The sequence below is a fragment of the Homo sapiens genome, chromosome 3 (genome assembly GCF_000001405.40).
Source record: "Homo sapiens chromosome 3, GRCh38.p14 Primary Assembly".
NCBI classification, from domain to species: Eukaryota; Metazoa; Chordata; class Mammalia; order Primates; family Hominidae; genus Homo; species Homo sapiens.
Window position 1 is genome coordinate 46693775 of NC_000003.12, and position 17907 is coordinate 46711681.

The 17907-nt window shown below is 57.1% G+C and overlaps 1 protein-coding gene across 3 annotated transcripts, besides 4 other annotated features; it reads left to right on the top strand.

The window, feature by feature from the left end:
• TMIE (transmembrane inner ear) lies at positions 4-17112 on the top strand. 3 transcript variants are annotated; one of them, NM_001370525.1, is made up of 5 exons: positions 4-361; positions 672-844; positions 12016-12133; positions 15352-15501; positions 15805-17112. In NM_001370525.1, the coding sequence occupies exons 3-5, from the start codon at positions 12082-12084 to the stop codon at positions 15912-15914; spliced, it is 312 nt and encodes a 103-aa protein (NP_001357454.1). In that variant the 5' UTR covers positions 4-361; positions 672-844; positions 12016-12081; the 3' UTR covers positions 15915-17112. The 3 variants fall into 3 exon arrangements, with proteins under 3 accessions (NP_001357454.1, NP_001357453.1, NP_671729.2); NM_001370524.1 differs by having other exon boundaries at positions 4-844; NM_147196.3 differs by lacking the exons at positions 4-361; positions 672-844 and adding an exon at positions 7618-7806.
• Positions 130-209: a silencer, noted in NCBI's record as "silent region_14292". NCBI's record gives its function as "represses an Ori minimal core promoter by ATAC-STARR-seq in GM12878 lymphoblastoid cells {active_cell/tissue: GM12878}" and the evidence as "EXISTENCE:reporter gene assay evidence [ECO:0000049][PMID:35858748]".
• Positions 842-1631: an enhancer, noted in NCBI's record as "H3K4me1 hESC enhancer chr3:46736106-46736895 (GRCh37/hg19 assembly coordinates)". NCBI's record gives its function as "activates a minimal SCP1, AML or CMV promoter by ChIP-STARR-seq in naive H9 embryonic stem cells {active_cell/tissue: H9 hESC(naive)}" and the evidence as "EXISTENCE:reporter gene assay evidence [ECO:0000049][PMID:30033119]".
• Positions 2721-3220: an enhancer, noted in NCBI's record as "H3K4me1 hESC enhancer chr3:46737985-46738484 (GRCh37/hg19 assembly coordinates)". NCBI's record gives its function as "activates a minimal SCP1, AML or CMV promoter by ChIP-STARR-seq in primed H9 embryonic stem cells {active_cell/tissue: H9 hESC(primed)}" and the evidence as "EXISTENCE:reporter gene assay evidence [ECO:0000049][PMID:30033119]".
• Positions 12639-13396: an enhancer, noted in NCBI's record as "H3K27ac-H3K4me1 hESC enhancer chr3:46747903-46748660 (GRCh37/hg19 assembly coordinates)". NCBI's record gives its function as "activates a minimal SCP1, AML or CMV promoter by ChIP-STARR-seq in primed H9 embryonic stem cells {active_cell/tissue: H9 hESC(primed)}" and the evidence as "EXISTENCE:reporter gene assay evidence [ECO:0000049][PMID:30033119]".

Here is a 17907-nt window from a genome sequence, read left to right on the forward strand (position 1 = left end):
GGTGTTGCTCTGGAGTTGCGGGGGCCACGGGCGGGCCACCGAGGAGCTGGCGCGCGGTATTGATCCGTCCCGCCGCCCCAAGCCTCTCCTGAGGCCTCCCTCTGGCGTCCCCCGGGATCCGGAGGCCCCTGGGACCCGGCGCGGGGAGGAAAAGTGGGAGTCTTGACCCCTCCGCCCCCTACGCACCCACGCGCACACTCAGGCTCGCCTCTCGCGCCCCGCTTCCCCTGCAAGGCTCCGAGGCCGCCGTGCCACCACCTCGCCCCGCCAGTCAGTCGCTCTGCGAGCCTGTGGTGCAGCCCCGTGACCTCCCGGGTCTGCCCTGAGTCACAGAAGCCAGCACACGCGGAGCGCTGTGTGGGTTCGTGGAACTTGGAGCCTGTAGAGGGGTATACTGAGGCGCCCTGCGGCCCCCTGGGCTGGGTGTCCACGGCCGGCCGCCCCTCCTGTGCGACCTTGGGGAAGTCCCCTTTCCTCCCCACTCCTGAGTCTCAACAGGCCTAGTAGAGCATGAAGCCGGCCGCGTGTGCTTTGTGCGAAGGCCTGAGACCTTGGAAAGGGTGGCTGAAGACTTATCTGGGACAGACCCCCCGGGAGCGGGAGGGAACTTAGTTCAAACCTGTAACAAAGAAGCCCCCCGTCAGCAGCCTGATTCCCCCTCTGGCCACCAGGTTAGTCACCCATTGCTCTCAGTGGCACTCAGGTTCCAGTGAGGGGGAGGCTCAGGGTCCAAGGCGGCCGTGGAAGAGCAGAAAGGGTGGCCCACCAGCCCCCTACTCAGCCCCCTACTGAGGAGGTGGGAGGCATCCCCCAACCTGCCAGGCTGAAGAGACCCCCAGTGGAGGTAAGTAGGGGCCTGGGGCCTGCCAAGCTCATCCCCTGGCTCCCTTGGGTTGTTGCGAGGTGGGAGTTTACTGTCTGCCAAGCTGCACATCACCCCTTGGAGGGTTTCCAGCCTGGGACCCTTGTCTGAGTGACTGCAGGTCCCAGTGACCTCACCCTTTTGCCCCACATTGCTCTCCTCCTGGGTCCCAATCCTGCAGAGCCGCCCCTTCCTGCTTCTCCATCCCTCCCCACATTGCCAAAGCCCGCCCTAGCTCTGGCCTCCCCTTTTCCAGCCTTGTTTTCTTGCCCCCTTCTGCACCCCCTGCTGCCTGAGGGGCTCCACTCCCAAAGGCCTTGCTCCTCTGGTCCCTGCCTGCTAGAGGTGTTGCTGTGTTGGTGGGTGGGGGCTACCTCAAGGAGGCTTCTGGTGAGGTGTCCCTCTGGCCCTCTGGGAAAGCCTCCCCTCCCCATGCCCTCCACCCCCAGGCTCCGGACCTTGGCCCCCACTCCCCTTCACAGCCCTGTTGGCCTGCGGGACTGTCTGCTGGGGCACTTGGCTCCCTGAGTCTACAGCACAGCCTGGCAGAGCCACCGCCCCAGCAGGTGGAATGAACTGAGGCTTCAGGTTCTAAACAGGCCTCCAAGGTCTTCCCTGTGGGGATCCTTTGTGCCTGTGGGGCAGTGGGAGGTAGCGGTACATTCTGGAAGAGCTGGTATGGGGCCTTGTGCTGCTTTCCTCTTGCTGTGTGATCACAGGCAGTGTGTGGCCTCTCTGTAACGTAGTGCCCCTGCTGGTGAAATATCTTACCTGCGCCTCCTTCTCGGGGTTATGTGGGACTCTGAGAGGAGGGGTATGGTGGGTTCAAGGGGCTCCTTCAGGGATGAGCACGGTTTAGAGGATCTATGGGTCCCCTAGAGCATGGGTGTGGGCCACCAGGCATCCCTGGGGCTTAGGAGGGAGGCAAGGGCTGGAGAGTGGCCATGGCCTCAGGAGGAGCATATGGCCTCACCACTTGTGACGAACAGGGACAGGTGGGGCAAGGCCCCGAGCAGGACAGATCTGATCTTATGCTAGGTGTCTCTGGGCCTCACTTTCATCATCTGCACGTGCAGCTGAGGGAAGGCAGTGCTGCCTGGGCTCGAGCAGGAAGGGAAGGGCTCCCACGGCTTCCTCCCTAGAGCACAGACTTCCTGTTCAGCCACATCTAGGGGAATAGAAAGGCTGACTGAGCTCTGGGCAGCAGACCAGTCCTTCCCCCATTCCCTGGGTGACCTCATGGGCATTGCAAGCCCAGTTTTCCTATCTGCTAAATGGGGCAAGACCTGCCCAGCCTCTCTTACAGCTCATTCTTGGCTTGGGGCCAGGTAAGGCCTCTGGTAGTGCCCAAAGGACAGCCTCTGCTGAGTCCACCTGCCTTCAGTCCCCTGCAGCACAGCCAAGGGCCCCTAGCCAATCCCACCACAGATGTGTATACCCACCCACACCACTCCCACACCCGCTGCACACAGATACAATTCCACAGTCAGGGAATGGGTGGGTCCCTGTGCCACATGGACCCATCTACCATTGAACCCACTGGTAAGGACTCCAAGTTGCACAACTCTAGTGGCAGCCCTGGGTATGCGTGTGCAGATCATGTGCCCATCCACAGGGACACAGACCTGCACACTACTCCAGGGAACACACACGTATGTGAATGGCACCTGTGATTCTGGAGCCATTGAGACTCATACCCAGCCACACACAAAGCTGCATGCAGAATGCACATGCACTCCCATGTGCACCAGTGCCTTAGTACACAAAGCACATGCTCAAGCACACGCAGGTCTGACACAGGCCTGGCCCAGCCCCACAGCTATTCTGAGCTGAGCCTGGGGCTGATGAGGTCAGGGACAGCCAACTCCCAGCAGGCCCCAGCTGCTGTGGCACAGGCCTAGGCTGCCCAGCTCCCACCCCCACCCTAGGCTGAGTCCCTGGATCCTAGCCTAGCTTTGTGACTGGGGGTCCTCATTTCCTACCCCCAGCTCCCCCAGAGCTAAACTTTAAGCCCTGGGATTTCAGGCTCCAGGAGAGAACATTCCACAGGGTCCTCTGGCCACTACCCCCTGCCTTGCTCACAGCTTCCAGTTCAGAGGCCCTGGAGGCTGGACTGGGTCCCTACAGGAAACTCACAGGAGCTAAAATTAGTACAGGAGGGAGAAGCAGGGATCTGCAGACCAGCATTCACAGCACCATGTATGGAGGGGACACTGTCTTCCAGGGAGCAAGGGTGGGGGACTTGGAGTCCAGAGGTCCCCAACCCCAGATATGATGGGCCCAACTGATTTTGGGGTGCAGGGGGATGTGGAGGCCTCCTAAGAAGCAGAAACAGTACTGGACACTGAGCAGTGTCCTGGGTTGGAGGCAAAGGCTGAGGTGGAGGCCATAGTTCCTGTGTGACCTTAGGCAGGGCATAACCCCTCTATGAGCTTAAATTCCTCACTGAAAAGCCCTCAGAGATGTAAAGTCCCTCAAAGATGGGGGAAAAAAAAACCCATGTGGTGTTAGGTATTGATTTTCATCCTCGGCTACTGGCTCATAGCTCCCATTGCCCTTGTTACGGTCTTTGGCTATAATGTGTTGGGCCTCAGGGCAGGCCCCAGGAAACGGAATCTCTCTGACCTTCTCCTGCTCTGCTTTCACCTGCCCCAAGTCAGGACCCTAATTTTCCCACACCTTTCTGATTGCGAGTCTTAAGACCCTCCCCAGAGAGGGTCCTGCCCTATACTCTGGGAGGAAGGAATGCAGATGTCGTGAAGCCTCCATAAACCCCAAGAGGACAGGGTTCAGAGGGCTTCTGAATAGCTGAACGTGTGGAGGCTGGGTGGCATGCCCAGGAGGGCATGGAAGCTCCATACCCCTTCCTCCATATCTCGCCCTATGCATCTCTTCAGCTGTATCCTTCGTAATACCCTTTACAGTAAGCCAGTAAAAGTCAGTCAGTGCTTCCCTGAGTTCTGTGACCCACTCCAGCAAATTAAGCCCAAAGAGGAGGTTGTAGGAACCCCAGCGTGAAGCCAGTTGGTCAGAAGTTCCAGAGGCCAGACTGGCAACTGGTGTCTTGGGGCTGGGTGGGCAGTCTTGGGAACTGAGGCCTCAATCTGTGGGATCTGACACTATCTCCGGGTAGATCATGTCAGAATCGAATTGGAAGGCACTCAGTTGGTGTCTGCTGCTTGGCATTTAGGGAAAAAACCCACACATTTGATCACAGAAGACTTCTGTGTGGATGATTGTTGTTGTGTTGGTGTACGAGCAGAGGAAAAGATATAGTTTGAGAGAGTTTTCAAAACTACTTTAACTTTCAGGATGTTCGCCTTAACGTGGTGTTTAATACTGGAGAATTGGAAGCAATGGAAATGTCCAACAATAGGACAGAGATCCAACAAGGTTTTTTGTTTCTTTTGTTTTGTTTTGTTTTGTTTCTTTTTTTTGAGATGGAGTCTTGCTTTCGCCCAGGCTGGAGTGCAGTGGCGCCATCTCAGCTCACTGCAACCACCTCCTGGGTTCAAGCAATTCTCCTGCCTCAGCCTCCCGACTAGTTGGGACTACAGGCACGTGCTACCGGCTAATGTTTTGTATTTTTAGTAGAGATGGGGTTTCACTGTGTTAGCCAGGATGGTCTCGATCTCCTGACCTCATGATCCGCCCACCTGAGCCTCCCAAAGTGCTGGGATTACAGGTGTGAGCCACCGCACCTGGCCCTTGCTGAGTTTTTATACAGTGTAGTATCACACAGCCTTTAACAAGAATGATAATAATTATAATGACTAGCGTTTAATGAAGGCTTGTGATATGCTGGTGCATGATACTGAATTAAAAAAAAAAATAGAGATGGCGTCTTGCTATGTTGCCCAGGCTAGTCTTGAACTCCTGGGCTCAAATGATCCTCCTGCCTTGGTCTCCCAAAGGTGTGAGCCACTGCACCTGGCCCATGATCCTGAATTATATCTGTTTTACAGATGAGGGACTGAAGCTCAGAGGGGTTAAGTAGCCCACCTGAGGGTTCACAGCCGGCAGTATGCTCATGTCCCAGAAACCTTAGTGCAGTTTTAAGCTTTAACAACTTCAGAAGTTAGGACATATAAAGCTATGAATTTACCAAAAAATTTTTTGGAAAGTTTGTTTAAATTCTCTTATGCTACTTTAGTTTTGTGAATTTTGAATGACCTAAGTTTCTTTTTCTTTTCTTTTCTTTTTTTATTTTTTATTTTTTATTTTTTAGAGAGACAGGGGTCTCACTATATTGCTTAGGCTGGTCTCAAACTCCTGGTCTCAAGCATTCCTCCCACCTCAACTTCCCAGTGTTAGGATTACAGGCATGAGCCACCACACTCAGCCGACTTAAATTTCTTTCAGTCAACTTTTACCATCTTCAGAGGGCACAAAAGGAAACTTAAACTTTCAAATGGTGTTTCTTATTTTTTTTTTTTTTTTTTTTTTTTTTGAGACAGAGTTTCGCTCTTGTTGCTGCCCAGGCTGGAGTGCAATGGCACGATCTCGGCTTACCGCAACCTCCGCCTCCCGAGTTCAAGCGATTCTCCTGCCTCAGCCTCACGAGTAGCTGGGGTTACAGGCATGTGCCACCTCACCCAGCTAATTTTGTATTTTTAGTAGAGATGGGGTTTCTCCATGTTGGTCAGGCTGGTCTCGACTCCTGACCTCGGGTGATCTGCCCACCTCGGCCTCCCAAGGTGCTGGGATTACAGGTGTGAGCCACCATGCCTGGCTAAATGGTGTTTCTCATACATTTGTAGCTTTATACTTCTGAGGTTATTAAAGCTTACAACTGCACTGAGACTTTTGGGACACCCTGCTGTTTAAGTTCAGTCAGTTTGATTTTGAAGCCCGTGTGATAGTATTTGGCTGTGGTGGGGTCAAGGAGGATCTAGAGTACTTGAGTTGGTTAAAAAAAGTTCTGGGTACAAAAGTATACTAGAAATAGTGTACTGTAAGATCTCAGCTGTGTTCAGGAGTCTGCAGAGAAGTGGAACCCACGCAGAGCAGTGGCCATCTCAGGGAACACCGGGGGACACATATGATTGTATTTTCTTTCAGATTTCTTCACTAGGCTTGCCCTACTTCTTGATGGATGGATGAACTTTACAGAAAACAGAAACAGCTCTCCTCTGGGCTGAGCTGTGATTGGGAGCCTGTAAGCAGCAGAGCACTGCCTGTCCTGCTAAGGAGAGCCAGCACTCCCATATTCATTAATTCATATCATCCTCACATCAATCATGGGAGTCTCACCCTCCCCATGCCATGGATAAGAAACAGAAACAGAGGAGTAATGCTTTGCTCAGTGCATTACTGACAGGCTCACTTAGTCCTCACCCTGTCCAGCCTCCCTGACCCCATGTCCCGAGGGTGACCTCCCTGACTGGTCAGTGTGGCTTTCCCTAGCCTGGCCTGTGACCAGCAGCATGAGGAAGTGGGGATTGGAGTGCTGCAACAAGTGATTTGGATTTTAGCAGAGTTCCTGTTTGCCTGGCCAGGGCATGCCTGGGGAGGACTGGGTGGCCCAGCCCACTCAGTCCCCAGACTTTACCTCCCACTGTTGAGCGTTTCCTCGATGGGTCTCCTGGGCTGCAGTCCTTCTCCAACAGCTCTCGTTTTCCTGCCTGGCTGTCATCTCCGGGCCCTGACACTGGCAGGTGACCGCAGGTGGCCCTCCGCTCCCTGCTGCAGCCTGCTGTGGTCCTTGCCCATTCATGGCATGTCCAGGCCAGAACCTCACAGGGCTCTGGAGCCACAGGGTCTCCCTGGTTCTCAGGGCAGGCCTTGCTGGGCCATCCCCAGCCTGCGCAGGCCTTCACCAGTGCCCCTGGTGATAAGGGTTCCAGGGGCCCAACACCTGGGCTGCTTCTCCTAACACTCAGCAGCAGGAGATAAATAAGAATAGAAGGAAGGAAGAAAAGGAGGGAAGGGGAGTCTACCAACTCCAGGCCTCCCCACTCCTCTTCCTAAGTCTTCAGCCCCCACCCAGGTCTCTACATCTCCTCAGAACCTCCCTCTGTCCCTCAGTTGTCAAGGCTCAACATGGGGTCAGGGCCAGAGTGCAGTGTGGGTCAACTTCAGCATGAGGTCAGGGTCCTGGCTTAGACTGAAGTCAGAGTCAGTGTTCAGGCTGGGGCAGAGATTGAGGGCAGCCAGGGTCAGAAAATGGTCCTCCAGCCCTTCCAGGGACAGCCCACTTCTGTCCTGTGGGGCTGAAGATGCTGGCTTCTTCTGGAACCCTCCATAACACTGCCGGCTGGCAGCTCTGACCATACCATCCCCTGCTCTCCAGCTCTGGTGTCCAGGGTGACCAGAGCCGCCTCTGGGCAGGAAGCCAAGCCAGAAAGCCCAGGACATCCCTGAGCGCCTGTCACCATGGCAACCTGCCCGCTCTGCCCCCCCCCCAAACTCAAATCCAGTATATTTTTCAAATCCAGCATGACAGAATGGGAAGGGCCTCCTAGATCAGCAGATTCCAGTCCCACCCCCTTGTCCCAGATGGAGAAACTGAGGCCCATTTGCAGAAGGGAGGGGGACCTGTTGATTAGGGACCTGGCCCCAGCCTGTCCTCCCTCCCGCCCACCCCCACCTCAGTGTCCCTGGGGATGCGGAAGGTGGGGGCAGGGAGGGGGAGCCTGCGGCCCGATCTCCCGGGAAGGAGGGGGCGGGCCCTCCACCGCAGCGATGGCGGGGGCGGGCGGCGCGGGAACCTGACACCGAGGATGAATAAATGATGCTCGCTGACTACCCGTGGCCAAAGCCCGTGGCCACCGAGCGCCGGCTGGCAGGGGCAGTGACCGGCGGCCGGCCCGTTCGTCCCTGGGCTCCGCAAGCGGCGCGGTGGCACGAAGATGGCGGGGTGGCCGGGCGCGGGTCCCCTCTGCGTGCTGGGCGGCGCCGCACTCGGGGTGTGCCTCGCGGGGGTTGCCGGGCAGCTGGTGGAGGTGAGGCCGCGGCACGGAGGGACTGGGGAGGCTGTCACCCTCCAGGCAGGGGGCTGGGGGAGAGGGGACGCCTTTTTGATCCGGAGCTTGTTTGATCCCTTACTCTTGCCCTGAGAGATCCAGTCTCCCGGGCGATGCAGCCCTGCCCCAAGCCCTGCCAGGCTGTGAGAGAGACTCAGCCCCACTCTTAGGGTCCCTGGTCTGATGGAAGGGCACAGTACCCGATTTCTGGAACATTAGTCTGACGGGGGAGACTCACCTTGACCTTAGGGATTCCCAGCCTGACTTGGGGACACAGCCCTGCCCAGACTGATGGGGGATACTGGGCCCCCATCCTCCAGCCTTTGGTCTCACTGGCAGGGAGGTGCACAGCCCTGGGTTTCCTGGACCTCTAGTCTGATGGAACAGACCCTGAATTTAGGGTCTTCTGGAGGCAACAGCCTCTATCTCCAGAGATGTTCCAGGGACCCCTGTCTAATGGAGGGGGAGACATAGCCTTAAGATGGAGACGAGGGCATTCCAAGTTGGAGGGTGGGGGCAGCAGGATGAGGAGACCCTTTACAGAGAAGCTATGTGGAGCACTAGGTCCAGAGGGGCAGGCAGGGCAGGACCTAGGGACTGGGAAGTCTGACTTGGTCCTGGTGATAACCGGGAGCTTTAGAAGGTTTCTGCTCAGGGACAAGTCATGATGAGTTCTGGTTTGGAAGGAGGGTAAATTGGGAGCAGGCACACAGTGGGAGAGGTGGGAGGAGCTGCTGAGATAGCACAGAAGCTGGGGGAGAGCCCTGGTGGAGAGCCTGGCTGGGGCCAGGAAGGGTGGGGCCATCTGTAGCCTCCCTAACCCCCTTGTACCCCACTCCTGCGGAGCCTGAAAGGGGAGCCAACGAGGGAGCTGGCAGACCAGACCTAGAGTTCTGAATTGTGAGGCCAGAGGGAGAAGGCCCAGGAGCCAGGGCCAGGGAGGAGCAGGGGATGGAGGCTGTGCAGGCAGGGGCGGACCAGAGGGAGCAGGAAAACAGAAATGCAAGAGGCAGTGAGAGGTGCCCAGGGAAGTCCTGAGGGGTGGGGGCTTGGGGACAGTGTGGGATAGAGAGGACAGAGCCATGGGGAAGTTGTTATGGGGGGACACAGCCCTGAACTGGAGGGTTTGATGGGGACATAGGGACAGAGCCCTGGACCCAGATGTAGCCTGTCCCTGCTGTTGCCCAGAGGGCATGACCACAAGGCTGGGCTAGAGTCAGGTGTCAGCTCCAGTGTCCCTGTAAGGGGAGCTATGCTGGCTTGAGCCCTGTGAGGCGTACTTGGGCCCCTCACAGGCTGCCCTGAGGCCTGGGTACAGAAACTGAGCTGGCCTAGGTGCAGACAGAAAGCTGGGGGTGGGGGTTAAGTCAGTTCTCAGCCAAGGACTCTTCTCCCTCACCCCCAGGAACTCATCTTTTCCCAGTTCTAGGGAAATTGCATTTGGAGGCCATCTGCCTGACATCTGCCTACAGTCTGAGCAAGGCCTTAGCTCTTCCCTCACGGAAGCACCAAAGACATGGGCAGGGCTGGGGGCCATGTCACCACCCACCTTAGCCCTGTGTGGGTCACCATCACCCTCCATCAGCCCGTGAGGCTCTGAAGGAGGTGGGGACCTCCATGCTCCAGAAATCAGACCCCAGCAGGGCCCAACATGAGGAGAAGACCAGCTGTCATCTGCTGCCGTCCACCCAAGACCCCTATCAGTAAGAGTAGGCCCAGCTCCACCCACATCAGGGCTGGGGCAAGAATGTGTAGGAAGTGAGCTGCCTTGGCTCAGAACCTGAGAACTTTGCCATGGCCCTCAGAGTCTTCCAGTCATACAACCAGCCGGGCCAACACATTGAGCCTTAGAATTAGGGCAGCTGCCACCATCAGGGCCCTAACCCTAATGGCACAGACATGTCCCTGACCACACCCACATGCATGCCAACCACACATGTGCCCAACCTCACACATGTTCCCCAACTTTATGTACATGTCTGACCCCACACATATATCCAGGGGAAAGTACTGAGGAATGGTGTCTTCTTGTCAATAGCTCACCCTGGCAGGGAGAAAAGAGCCTGAGAATCAGGTACCAATCCCAGCCCACAGATCCTCTGGGTTACCTGGGACAGGTTGCTGATCCTCTCTTGAGTTCTGCAACCCACGCTGAAGGGTGGCATTCACTAGATGAAGAAGCGCCTGGCTCATGACAGATGCCTAATCCATGTTTACGGACCTGGGGGAAGAAGGGCTGGATGGTCGAACTACAGGTTGCCTTTCTTCTCAGAGAACCAGAAGGGACTTCTCGTGTCTGTCCTTATTTAGTAATCAGTGCACAACATCTCGCTCATATGCCCCAGGGTTCTCTCTCCCTCAGAGGACAGACCCCTCTCCCTGTCCCTCAGCCACACTAAGTGACAGACATGGGGTCATATCCATCTCTGGTCAGGGACAGATCTTACTCAAATTCTACAGTGTGGGTCCATGTCCCTTCAGACCTAGGCAGGACTGTGTCCCCTAGACACCCAGGGTAGAGCTGTGTCCTCTAGACACCCAGGGCAGGACCGTGTCCCCTAGACACCCAGGGTGGACCATGTCCCTAGACACCCAGGGTGAAGCATATCCCCTAGACACCCAGGGCGGACCATGTCCCTAGACACCCAGGGTGGACCATGTCCCCTAGACACCCAGGGCAGGACCATGTCCCTAGACACCCAGGGCAGGACCATGTCCCTAGACACCCAGGGCAGGAACATGTCCCCTAGACACCCAAGGTGGACCATGTCCCTAGACACTCAGGGTGGACTATGTCCCCTAGAGACCCAGGGTGGACCATGTCGCCTAGACACCCAGGGCAGGACCATGTCCCCTAGACACCCAGGGCAGGACCATGTCCCTAGATGCCCAGGGCAGGACCGTGTCCCCTAGACGCCCAGGGCAGGACCGTGTCCCCTAGACGCCCAGGGCAGGACCATGTCCCCTAGACGCCCAGGGCAGGATCATGTCCCTAGACACCCAGGGTGGACCATGTCCCCTAGACACCCAGGGTGGACCATGTCCCCTAGACACCCAGGGCCAGGGTCATGTCCCTAGACACCCAGGGTGAAGCACGTCCACTAGACACCCAGGGTGGACCATGTCCCCTAGACACCCAGGGCAGGACCATGTCCCCTAGACACCCAGGGCCAGGGTCATGTCCCTAGACACCCAGGGTGAAGCATGTCCCCTAGACACCCAGGGTGGACCATGTCCCCTAGACACCCAGGGTGGACCATGTCCCCTAGACACCCAGGGCCAGGGTCATGTCCCTAGACAGCCAGGAGCAGGGTTGTCTCCCCTCAGACCTGGGCAGAACTATGTCCCCTAGACACCCAGGAGAAGGGCTGTGTCCTCTCAGACCTGGGGCTGGGCCATGTCCCTTAGATATCCAGGATGAGGCCATGTCCTCTCAGAACTGGGGCAGGACTGTGTCCTCTAGACCCTGGGGCAGTGTCCTATCCCCTCAGTCCCCCAGGGCAGGGTCATGTCCACCTGGAAAGTGGGAGTGTCTGGCTGTGCTCTATTCAGGCTTGCTACAGCCGCACTTCTGCCTTTTGGCCTCCAGGTGTCGCCACAGCACTGCAGACCTTTTATTTATCCAGTGCCTGTCCTGTGGACACTCTGGGAGAGTCTTCTGTTCAGAGTGACTCCTAGTAGGGTAGGCGACCAAAGGAGGCCACCTGGCAGGGGTCCAGGCCAGCTGGCAGAACTATGTGGCCCAGACTCCTAGCTCCACACCCCACCCTCACTGGGGAGATGTGAGAGCAAAGCCAGTTAGCCAGCACCCCCCAGGCCTCGCCTTGTCTCTGGCCTTGGTCCTGAGACCCCATCTGCCTGGGTGGAGCCCAGGACTGGAGTAGGAGGGTGTGTTCATAGGGGCCTTGAACCTGGCCAGGACAAGCCATCCACATTTGCTCCTCCAGGCCTTGGTTTCCCCAAGCATCAACCACCCTCCCACTTCAAGTACCTGGCTCTGCTCAGTTCTCTTGCTCTAAATCTGGAACTTTCCAAGGTCTAGGGTGTTGGTAGTGCATGCTTAAGAGAGTTGATTCTAGGAGATTCTGATATGCTTGGGCTGAGTGTTTGCTGAGACCTGGGCCCTTCTCAGCTGGTTCCAGCCAGCTGGCCTCTGCCTAACTCACTCCCCTCTCTCCTGACCCACAGCCCAGCACGGCCCCACCCAAGCCCAAGCCGCCTCCGCTGACCAAGGAGACAGTGGTGTTCTGGGACATGCGCCTGTGGCACGTGGTGGGCATCTTTTCGCTCTTCGTGTTGTCCATCAGTGAGTAGCTGTTCCCTTCCCTCTCCACCACACTGCAGTGGGAACACAGCACCCCCTGCCCCCCAGAGGGCTCAGAGCAGCAATTCCGGGCAGTGCAAGTAGGCCAGGCACCCGCAGGAGACCCGCGGTGGTTTCTGGCACCTCCTGATCCACACAAACTCCCCGTGGAGGGCTGACAGGCCGGTGGTGACCTGAAGTATTCTGCAGGACCCAGGGAGGTAGCCACATGGCAATTATGGTAATTACAGGGAACTCCACTGAACCAAGGACTGGGACGAGGACGTGTCATTTTTCCCTATGGCTGGCCTCCTGATGCTTTTCCTGCAGTTTGGCCAGCTTAAAGGCCCACACCCAGGGGCCCCAGCAAGGCCATCCTCCACTAGAGGCTCCCCAGACACCCAGCAGATGTGGCTCCCAGGCTTCAATCCCTGCCTTGTCAAATACCATTTTCCGGGAGTGACTCACACCCGCCTCAATTAAAAGCAGGAAACCCATTCCTCTCCTGGGCTCTGGGAGCTTCTTGATGCAAAGTCGCAGCAGAAATGGGCTTGGCCGGCTCCCCTTAGCCCTCCCCTCAGAATGGAGGTCTGGAGTTGGGGAAGGGGACAGAAAGGCACAGGAGACAGAGGCCAAGTGGGGAGGCTGCCATGGCACAAAGCAGTCTGACAGAGGTTCCCACGAGGCAAAAGCAGAGTGGGGGGGAATGTAGGAGGTAAAGGGAGAAGCAGCCCACTCCCCTGCAAAGGCATCACAGAGGAGGGTCCTCTGAGGAGGAGGGTCCTCTGAGCTGCAGACCGGTGGGAGGGTAGGTGGGGTTTTGCAGGAGGGAAGGCTGGAAAGGCATTCCGGGAGAGGGGATGTGAGCAGAGGCTGGAGGAAATGCAGCCTCACGCAGGGTCTCAGATGAACCCAACTGGACATTTGCTGAGTGCACCCTGGGTGGGGAGGCAAAAGCTGCACTTCGTCCCAGCCGGAGCTGTCCCGGGATGAGGTGCCCCAGAGAGCTGGGTGGCCCACAGAGAGCCCACCCAGATGTGAGGGGCTCCAAGGAAGACGTGACATCTGATTTGCACGTGCTTCTCCTGGCACCAGAAGTGCTGTCCCAAGAGAAAATATCTGCCCTGCAGAAAATCCCCGCCCCCCATCTGAGCAAGAGCCTGTGCTTTGTTCCCAGCCGAGGCTGAGAACCAGTCAGGCATCTTTGTGGAGGCCCCACAGACAGATAGGTGTGCCTGCAGCCTCAGCCAGGTGTCCAGAGAGGGAAACAGCCCGCTGCAGGGCTCGGGGGTCATCTGCCCTACAGGAGCCACAGGCACAGCCTAGGATGCAGGTCTACGGAGCAGCAGGGAGAGCACTGTGGGCCTCAAGACACAACAAAGGTGCCTGGGGCCACATGAGAAAATTGCAGTGTCAGACCCCAAGCGGCACTTGGACATCAACCACACAGACCATCTCTAACCCCATTTCCTAGAAAGGGTAAAGGATAGTCCCAAGACACCTGAGCAGCAGGCAGCACTTGTTACCTTCCATTGCCGGATCTAGGCAGTGGGGGCAACACAGCTCCCTCTCCTGGGGGGAAACATTTTTCCTGCTTCCCAGTCTGCCTGGGCTGTTATTGGAGCATCACCCCCAAAGCCCTGCAGGAAAAGGGGCTGGGGCTAGATGGGGTGCCCCTGGAGGTCTCCTCCAGCCCCAGGGACTTATATCCCAAGCCCCTGCCTGGGCCCTGGAACTTGACCCAAAGCTCTTTGCATCTCCCCTTCTTTGAAGAGAAGCAAACAGGCCAGGCTGTGCGGGGCAGGCCTGAAGTGAGGGGTGGTGTTTGAGCCCGGCTCTGGCTGCCGTCAGTGGCCCACTGAGCTCCTTAGGAAGCCCCAGCCTCCCGGGGCCTGGGACCAGCCTGCATGGAGCCTGAGTGGGCATAGTCCCAAGGAGGTTCCTGGTGGGGTGGCTAGAAGAGGTGGCCTAAGCCGGGAGGGTTAGGATTGGGTACCAACTTCGAGTCTCAGGCATGAACACAGGTTCTGGAGAAATCCAGGACCCAGCTTCTTGGATAAGGCCTGCTGTCTGCTCAGGTCCACCCCTGGACAGTCGGATCTATAGCTGGGGCCCTTGTGCAGCACCCTCCTCCAAGTGTATGCCTGGATGCTATTGGCTCCCCAATTCATTCACTCTAGTCCAGTCCTGTTCCCAACAGCAAAGGCTTTGAGATCATCCCATTCATTCATTCATTGATTTTTTTCTTTTATTCTGAGCCTGGGTGAGACCTAGTAGGACCACAATATTTGTCTGAAGGGGTTCTGACTTGGTTGCATAAAATGACCCCAGAAGGTACTCCAGTCCAGGCTACATAGATCTGATCCATCTTCCCCAAAATAGACCTGGTTAATCCTCCGTGGGCCCTTCTGCCCCCAGGAGTCTGCCAGGAAGTTATGTCTGGTCATCTGATTTATAATAGGAACCAGCTCCATCCCCTCCTCTAGGGCTGGGGCCAAGGTGGTCAGGCTGTGGGGGCCTTAGGAAAATAAACTCAGTCCAGCCAGGTCCTGGCAGCCCTAACCTGCCCTACCCATCCCTAGACAGGCCAGCTCCATGACCTGGCCCAACTGGCGTGGGTGCAGCTGCCCTCAGCCGGAAAACCACTCCTGAAATAACTCCGTCTGAGGTGAATGCCTCAGGGCAGGGTCTGTGCCCTCTCATGGGCTCCCGCCCTAGCCAGGGAGAGCCCAGGGATGTCCTCAGGGAGGCTGAGGAGGACATGCAGAGCCACGTCCTCTCATGACTGAGGCAACTTTGGCCTAGCTCTCAGTGGTGTGGGAAGGAGAAGCTAAGTTGCACACCCGGAGGCCTGGGTTGGAAGTGCTGGATGGCCCCCAGGAAGCTATGGCTTAAGTCATGGTGCAGACCTCTGCCTTACCCTCCAGTGACTCTCAGTCTAGTCAGAAAGACCCTCAGGACCAGGACTGGTGACATAATTTAGCCAGGGTCCCTTCCAAGCACGGGGGCCTGTGCAGCTGCATGAAGTCAGCCCTGCTTAGGAAAGCCACCTTGGTCATCATAGGGTCCACAGGGGTTTTGTCAAGATGCTGAGCCTCCTGCCAGGGTCTGGTGGGTGAGACACATGTGGGTGGATGGGGGCGGGCCTGAAGGAAGGCGGATGCCATTCCTTGGGTCTCTGAACCCCAGCCCCAGCCAAGCCTGCTCTGTCCTCCCTACAGTCATCACGCTGTGCTGTGTCTTCAACTGTCGTGTGCCACGGACCCGGAAGGAGATCGAAGCCCGGTACCTGCAGCGAAAGGCAGCCAAGATGTACACAGACAAGCTGGAGACTGTGCCACCCCTCAATGAGCTCACAGAAGTCCCAGGAGGTGAGTTGGCCCTGGCTTGAGCCCTGCTGCGCCAGCCAGTTCCTCAGTCCTGCTGCCTGGAGTCACCCTGTTCCTCTGCTCCAACCAAAGCAGGTTCAGGGAGGGGCCCCAGCCCTGCCCCTGGAGACCAGAGCACAGAAATTGGTTGGCATGAGGCAAATAGAACGATGAGCCTATTCTCCAGTAGGAAGAAGGAAGAAAAAGGCAGAGTGTAGGAGGTTCTGGGGCTCTTCCCCTCAGGACAGTCAGACCCCAGGACCTTGTCTCACCACTATCACATGGTCTCTTCCCCCTGCCCCACAGAGGATAAGAAGAAGAAGAAGAAGAAGAAGAAGGACAGTGTGGACACAGTGGCCATCAAAGTAGAGGAGGATGAGAAGAATGAGGCCAAGAAGAAGAAAGGAGAGAAATGAAGACATCCTGGGCAGCTTGGGCTGGCGGGCCCTGGAGCTCAAGCCGTGGCCGGGGTCCAGGCATGTTGGACTCTGAGCTCATTTGGGGACCACAGAGGCTGTGGTCAGAGAGGGAAGCTGAGGCCCATGGCCACATCCTCATGGCCCATCAGGGGCAGGAACCAGACAATCTCGTAGGTGTCCTGCCCCCCAGCCTAGGCTTGGCTCCTTTCACCCCATCCACATGGGTACTGTCTCGGCAGAGGTGGTCTGGTGCCACCGTCCCTCTGCAGATACACTGCTCTCCCCACCCAGACCTGCCTGTCTCCCACCCTTTCTGCCAGGGATGGCAGTGGCTGTGAAGGAGTAATGGGATATGGGGTTACTTCAGCCACCCTTTCTGGCACGAAATGGCTGAAGTGCATGGGTCAGGGTGTGAGGCCACACCCAGAGTAGCCATGAGGAGGCAGAGAGGGTCACTGGGGGACACTGTGGCAGCAGGAGGGACTCTGTCTGGCCAGGGAGGAGCCCCAGTGGTGAGAAGACTTCCCCAAGCCTGGCAGGGGATCCAGCTCAAGGGAGTAAGTAGAGGTGGCTTCAGAAATGGAACCCCCAGCCCAGCAGACATCAAGCTCAAGGCAATGGGCTACCCTCATTTCACACGTTGTGATGAAGCTGAGGCTGCTGCCAGGCCCGGCATGAGGCCCCGAGGCTCGAGCTCGGGGCTGGGGGCTGCAGGGCTGGGTCAGGGGTACACAGAGCTAAGGCCAATGGGCTAGAGGGTGCCGGAAAGAGAGCTGGAGTCTGGGCTCCTCTTGGGAATCAGAGTATATTTAAGAAGCCAAGGGGGACCTCGGGCTGTTCTGGTGGCCCCTTCTATGCCCAGCTGTGCTGGGAGGTCCCAGGGCCCTAGAAGATCACAGCAGGGCCTTCTGCCTGCTGACCATAACAGTGCCAGCTTCTTTGCAGCTTCCTCTTCTACCATTTCCCACTACGGGCACCTAAAAGAAGCATCTCTGACCAGAAGACAAAGGCCCAAATAGCACCTGGGGGAGGGAAGATGCACAGAGGCACTTCCAGATGGCATCGAACAGACTAAGGCTCTGAAACCTAGGCCTGAACACTAAGGTCTCGAGACACCAGAGGTTTCTGAGCCAGGAGAGCCTGCTGGAAAAGCAGCCTGCAGAGATTTGTGAATAAAGCTGATTGCCTTCTCAGAGCCAGGCCTAGAAAATGGCCTCCTGAGATGACCCCTCAGGATGCGCTATTCCTGGGGCATTTATGTGGAGGGTGATGCAGCAGTCAGTGACAGATGGCTCAGGCCAGGCCAAAGTCCCCTCCCTGACTCTTCTGCCAGCCTGAATTAGGATGAGATAGAGGGAGAAATGGGAGCCAAGAGGCTGAGGGGCAGCTGCAGTCACCTGGGCCCATCCCGGAGGCAGGCACAGGACTCGGGAGGGACGCTGCCAGCTCTCTGGGTGCTGAGTTCACAAGGCTGCATTCATGATTTTCAATAGACCTGTGATGGTCTGTGCCCAGTGCTGGGGACACAGAAGAGTCAAACCTGGCTCCTGACCTGGACCTGGATCATCACTGTACAGGGAGGAGAGTGATCCAGGCTGATGAGGAAAGCGCATGACATGGGGTCTTAGGAGCAGTGAGGGGCAGAGCCATGGCCAAAGGCCCCGCCATGGAAGCTGAGGACTCTGACACCAGATGGAGGCAGTTGACCGACCTCTGCCCTTGGGGTCCAACCCATGGGCTTCTCATACATAGGGGTGAAAAAGGCCATTCTATTTATGCAGAATTTTCCCATGTGGCCAGGCAGCAGAAGTCCAGAGGGGTAGGGGCCACTCAGGGTCACACAGAGCAGCAGTTGCTGAAGACTGGGGAAGTCCAGGCCTAGGCTCCACCTGCCCTTCCCCTGACATGGGGCCACCACTAGCCTTTTATGGGCAGGCCTGGCTGCTGGTGGTTGGAATAACATCTGACTCCAGTGGGTGTCTGTCACTGT

Bases quoted from the DNA above. Each gene is read 5' to 3' on its own strand.
- TMIE (NM_147196.3), top strand. From the start codon at position 7,714: ATGGCGGGGTGGCCGGGCGCGGGTCCCCTCTGCGTGCTGGGCGGCGCC. The intron at 12,134-15,351 runs GTGAGTAGCTGT...TCCTCCCTACAG, and splicing joins GCTCTTCGTGTTGTCCATCA to TCATCACGCTGTGCTGTGTC. The intron at 15,502-15,804 runs GTGAGTTGGCCC...CCTGCCCCACAG, and splicing joins GCTCACAGAAGTCCCAGGAG to AGGATAAGAAGAAGAAGAAG.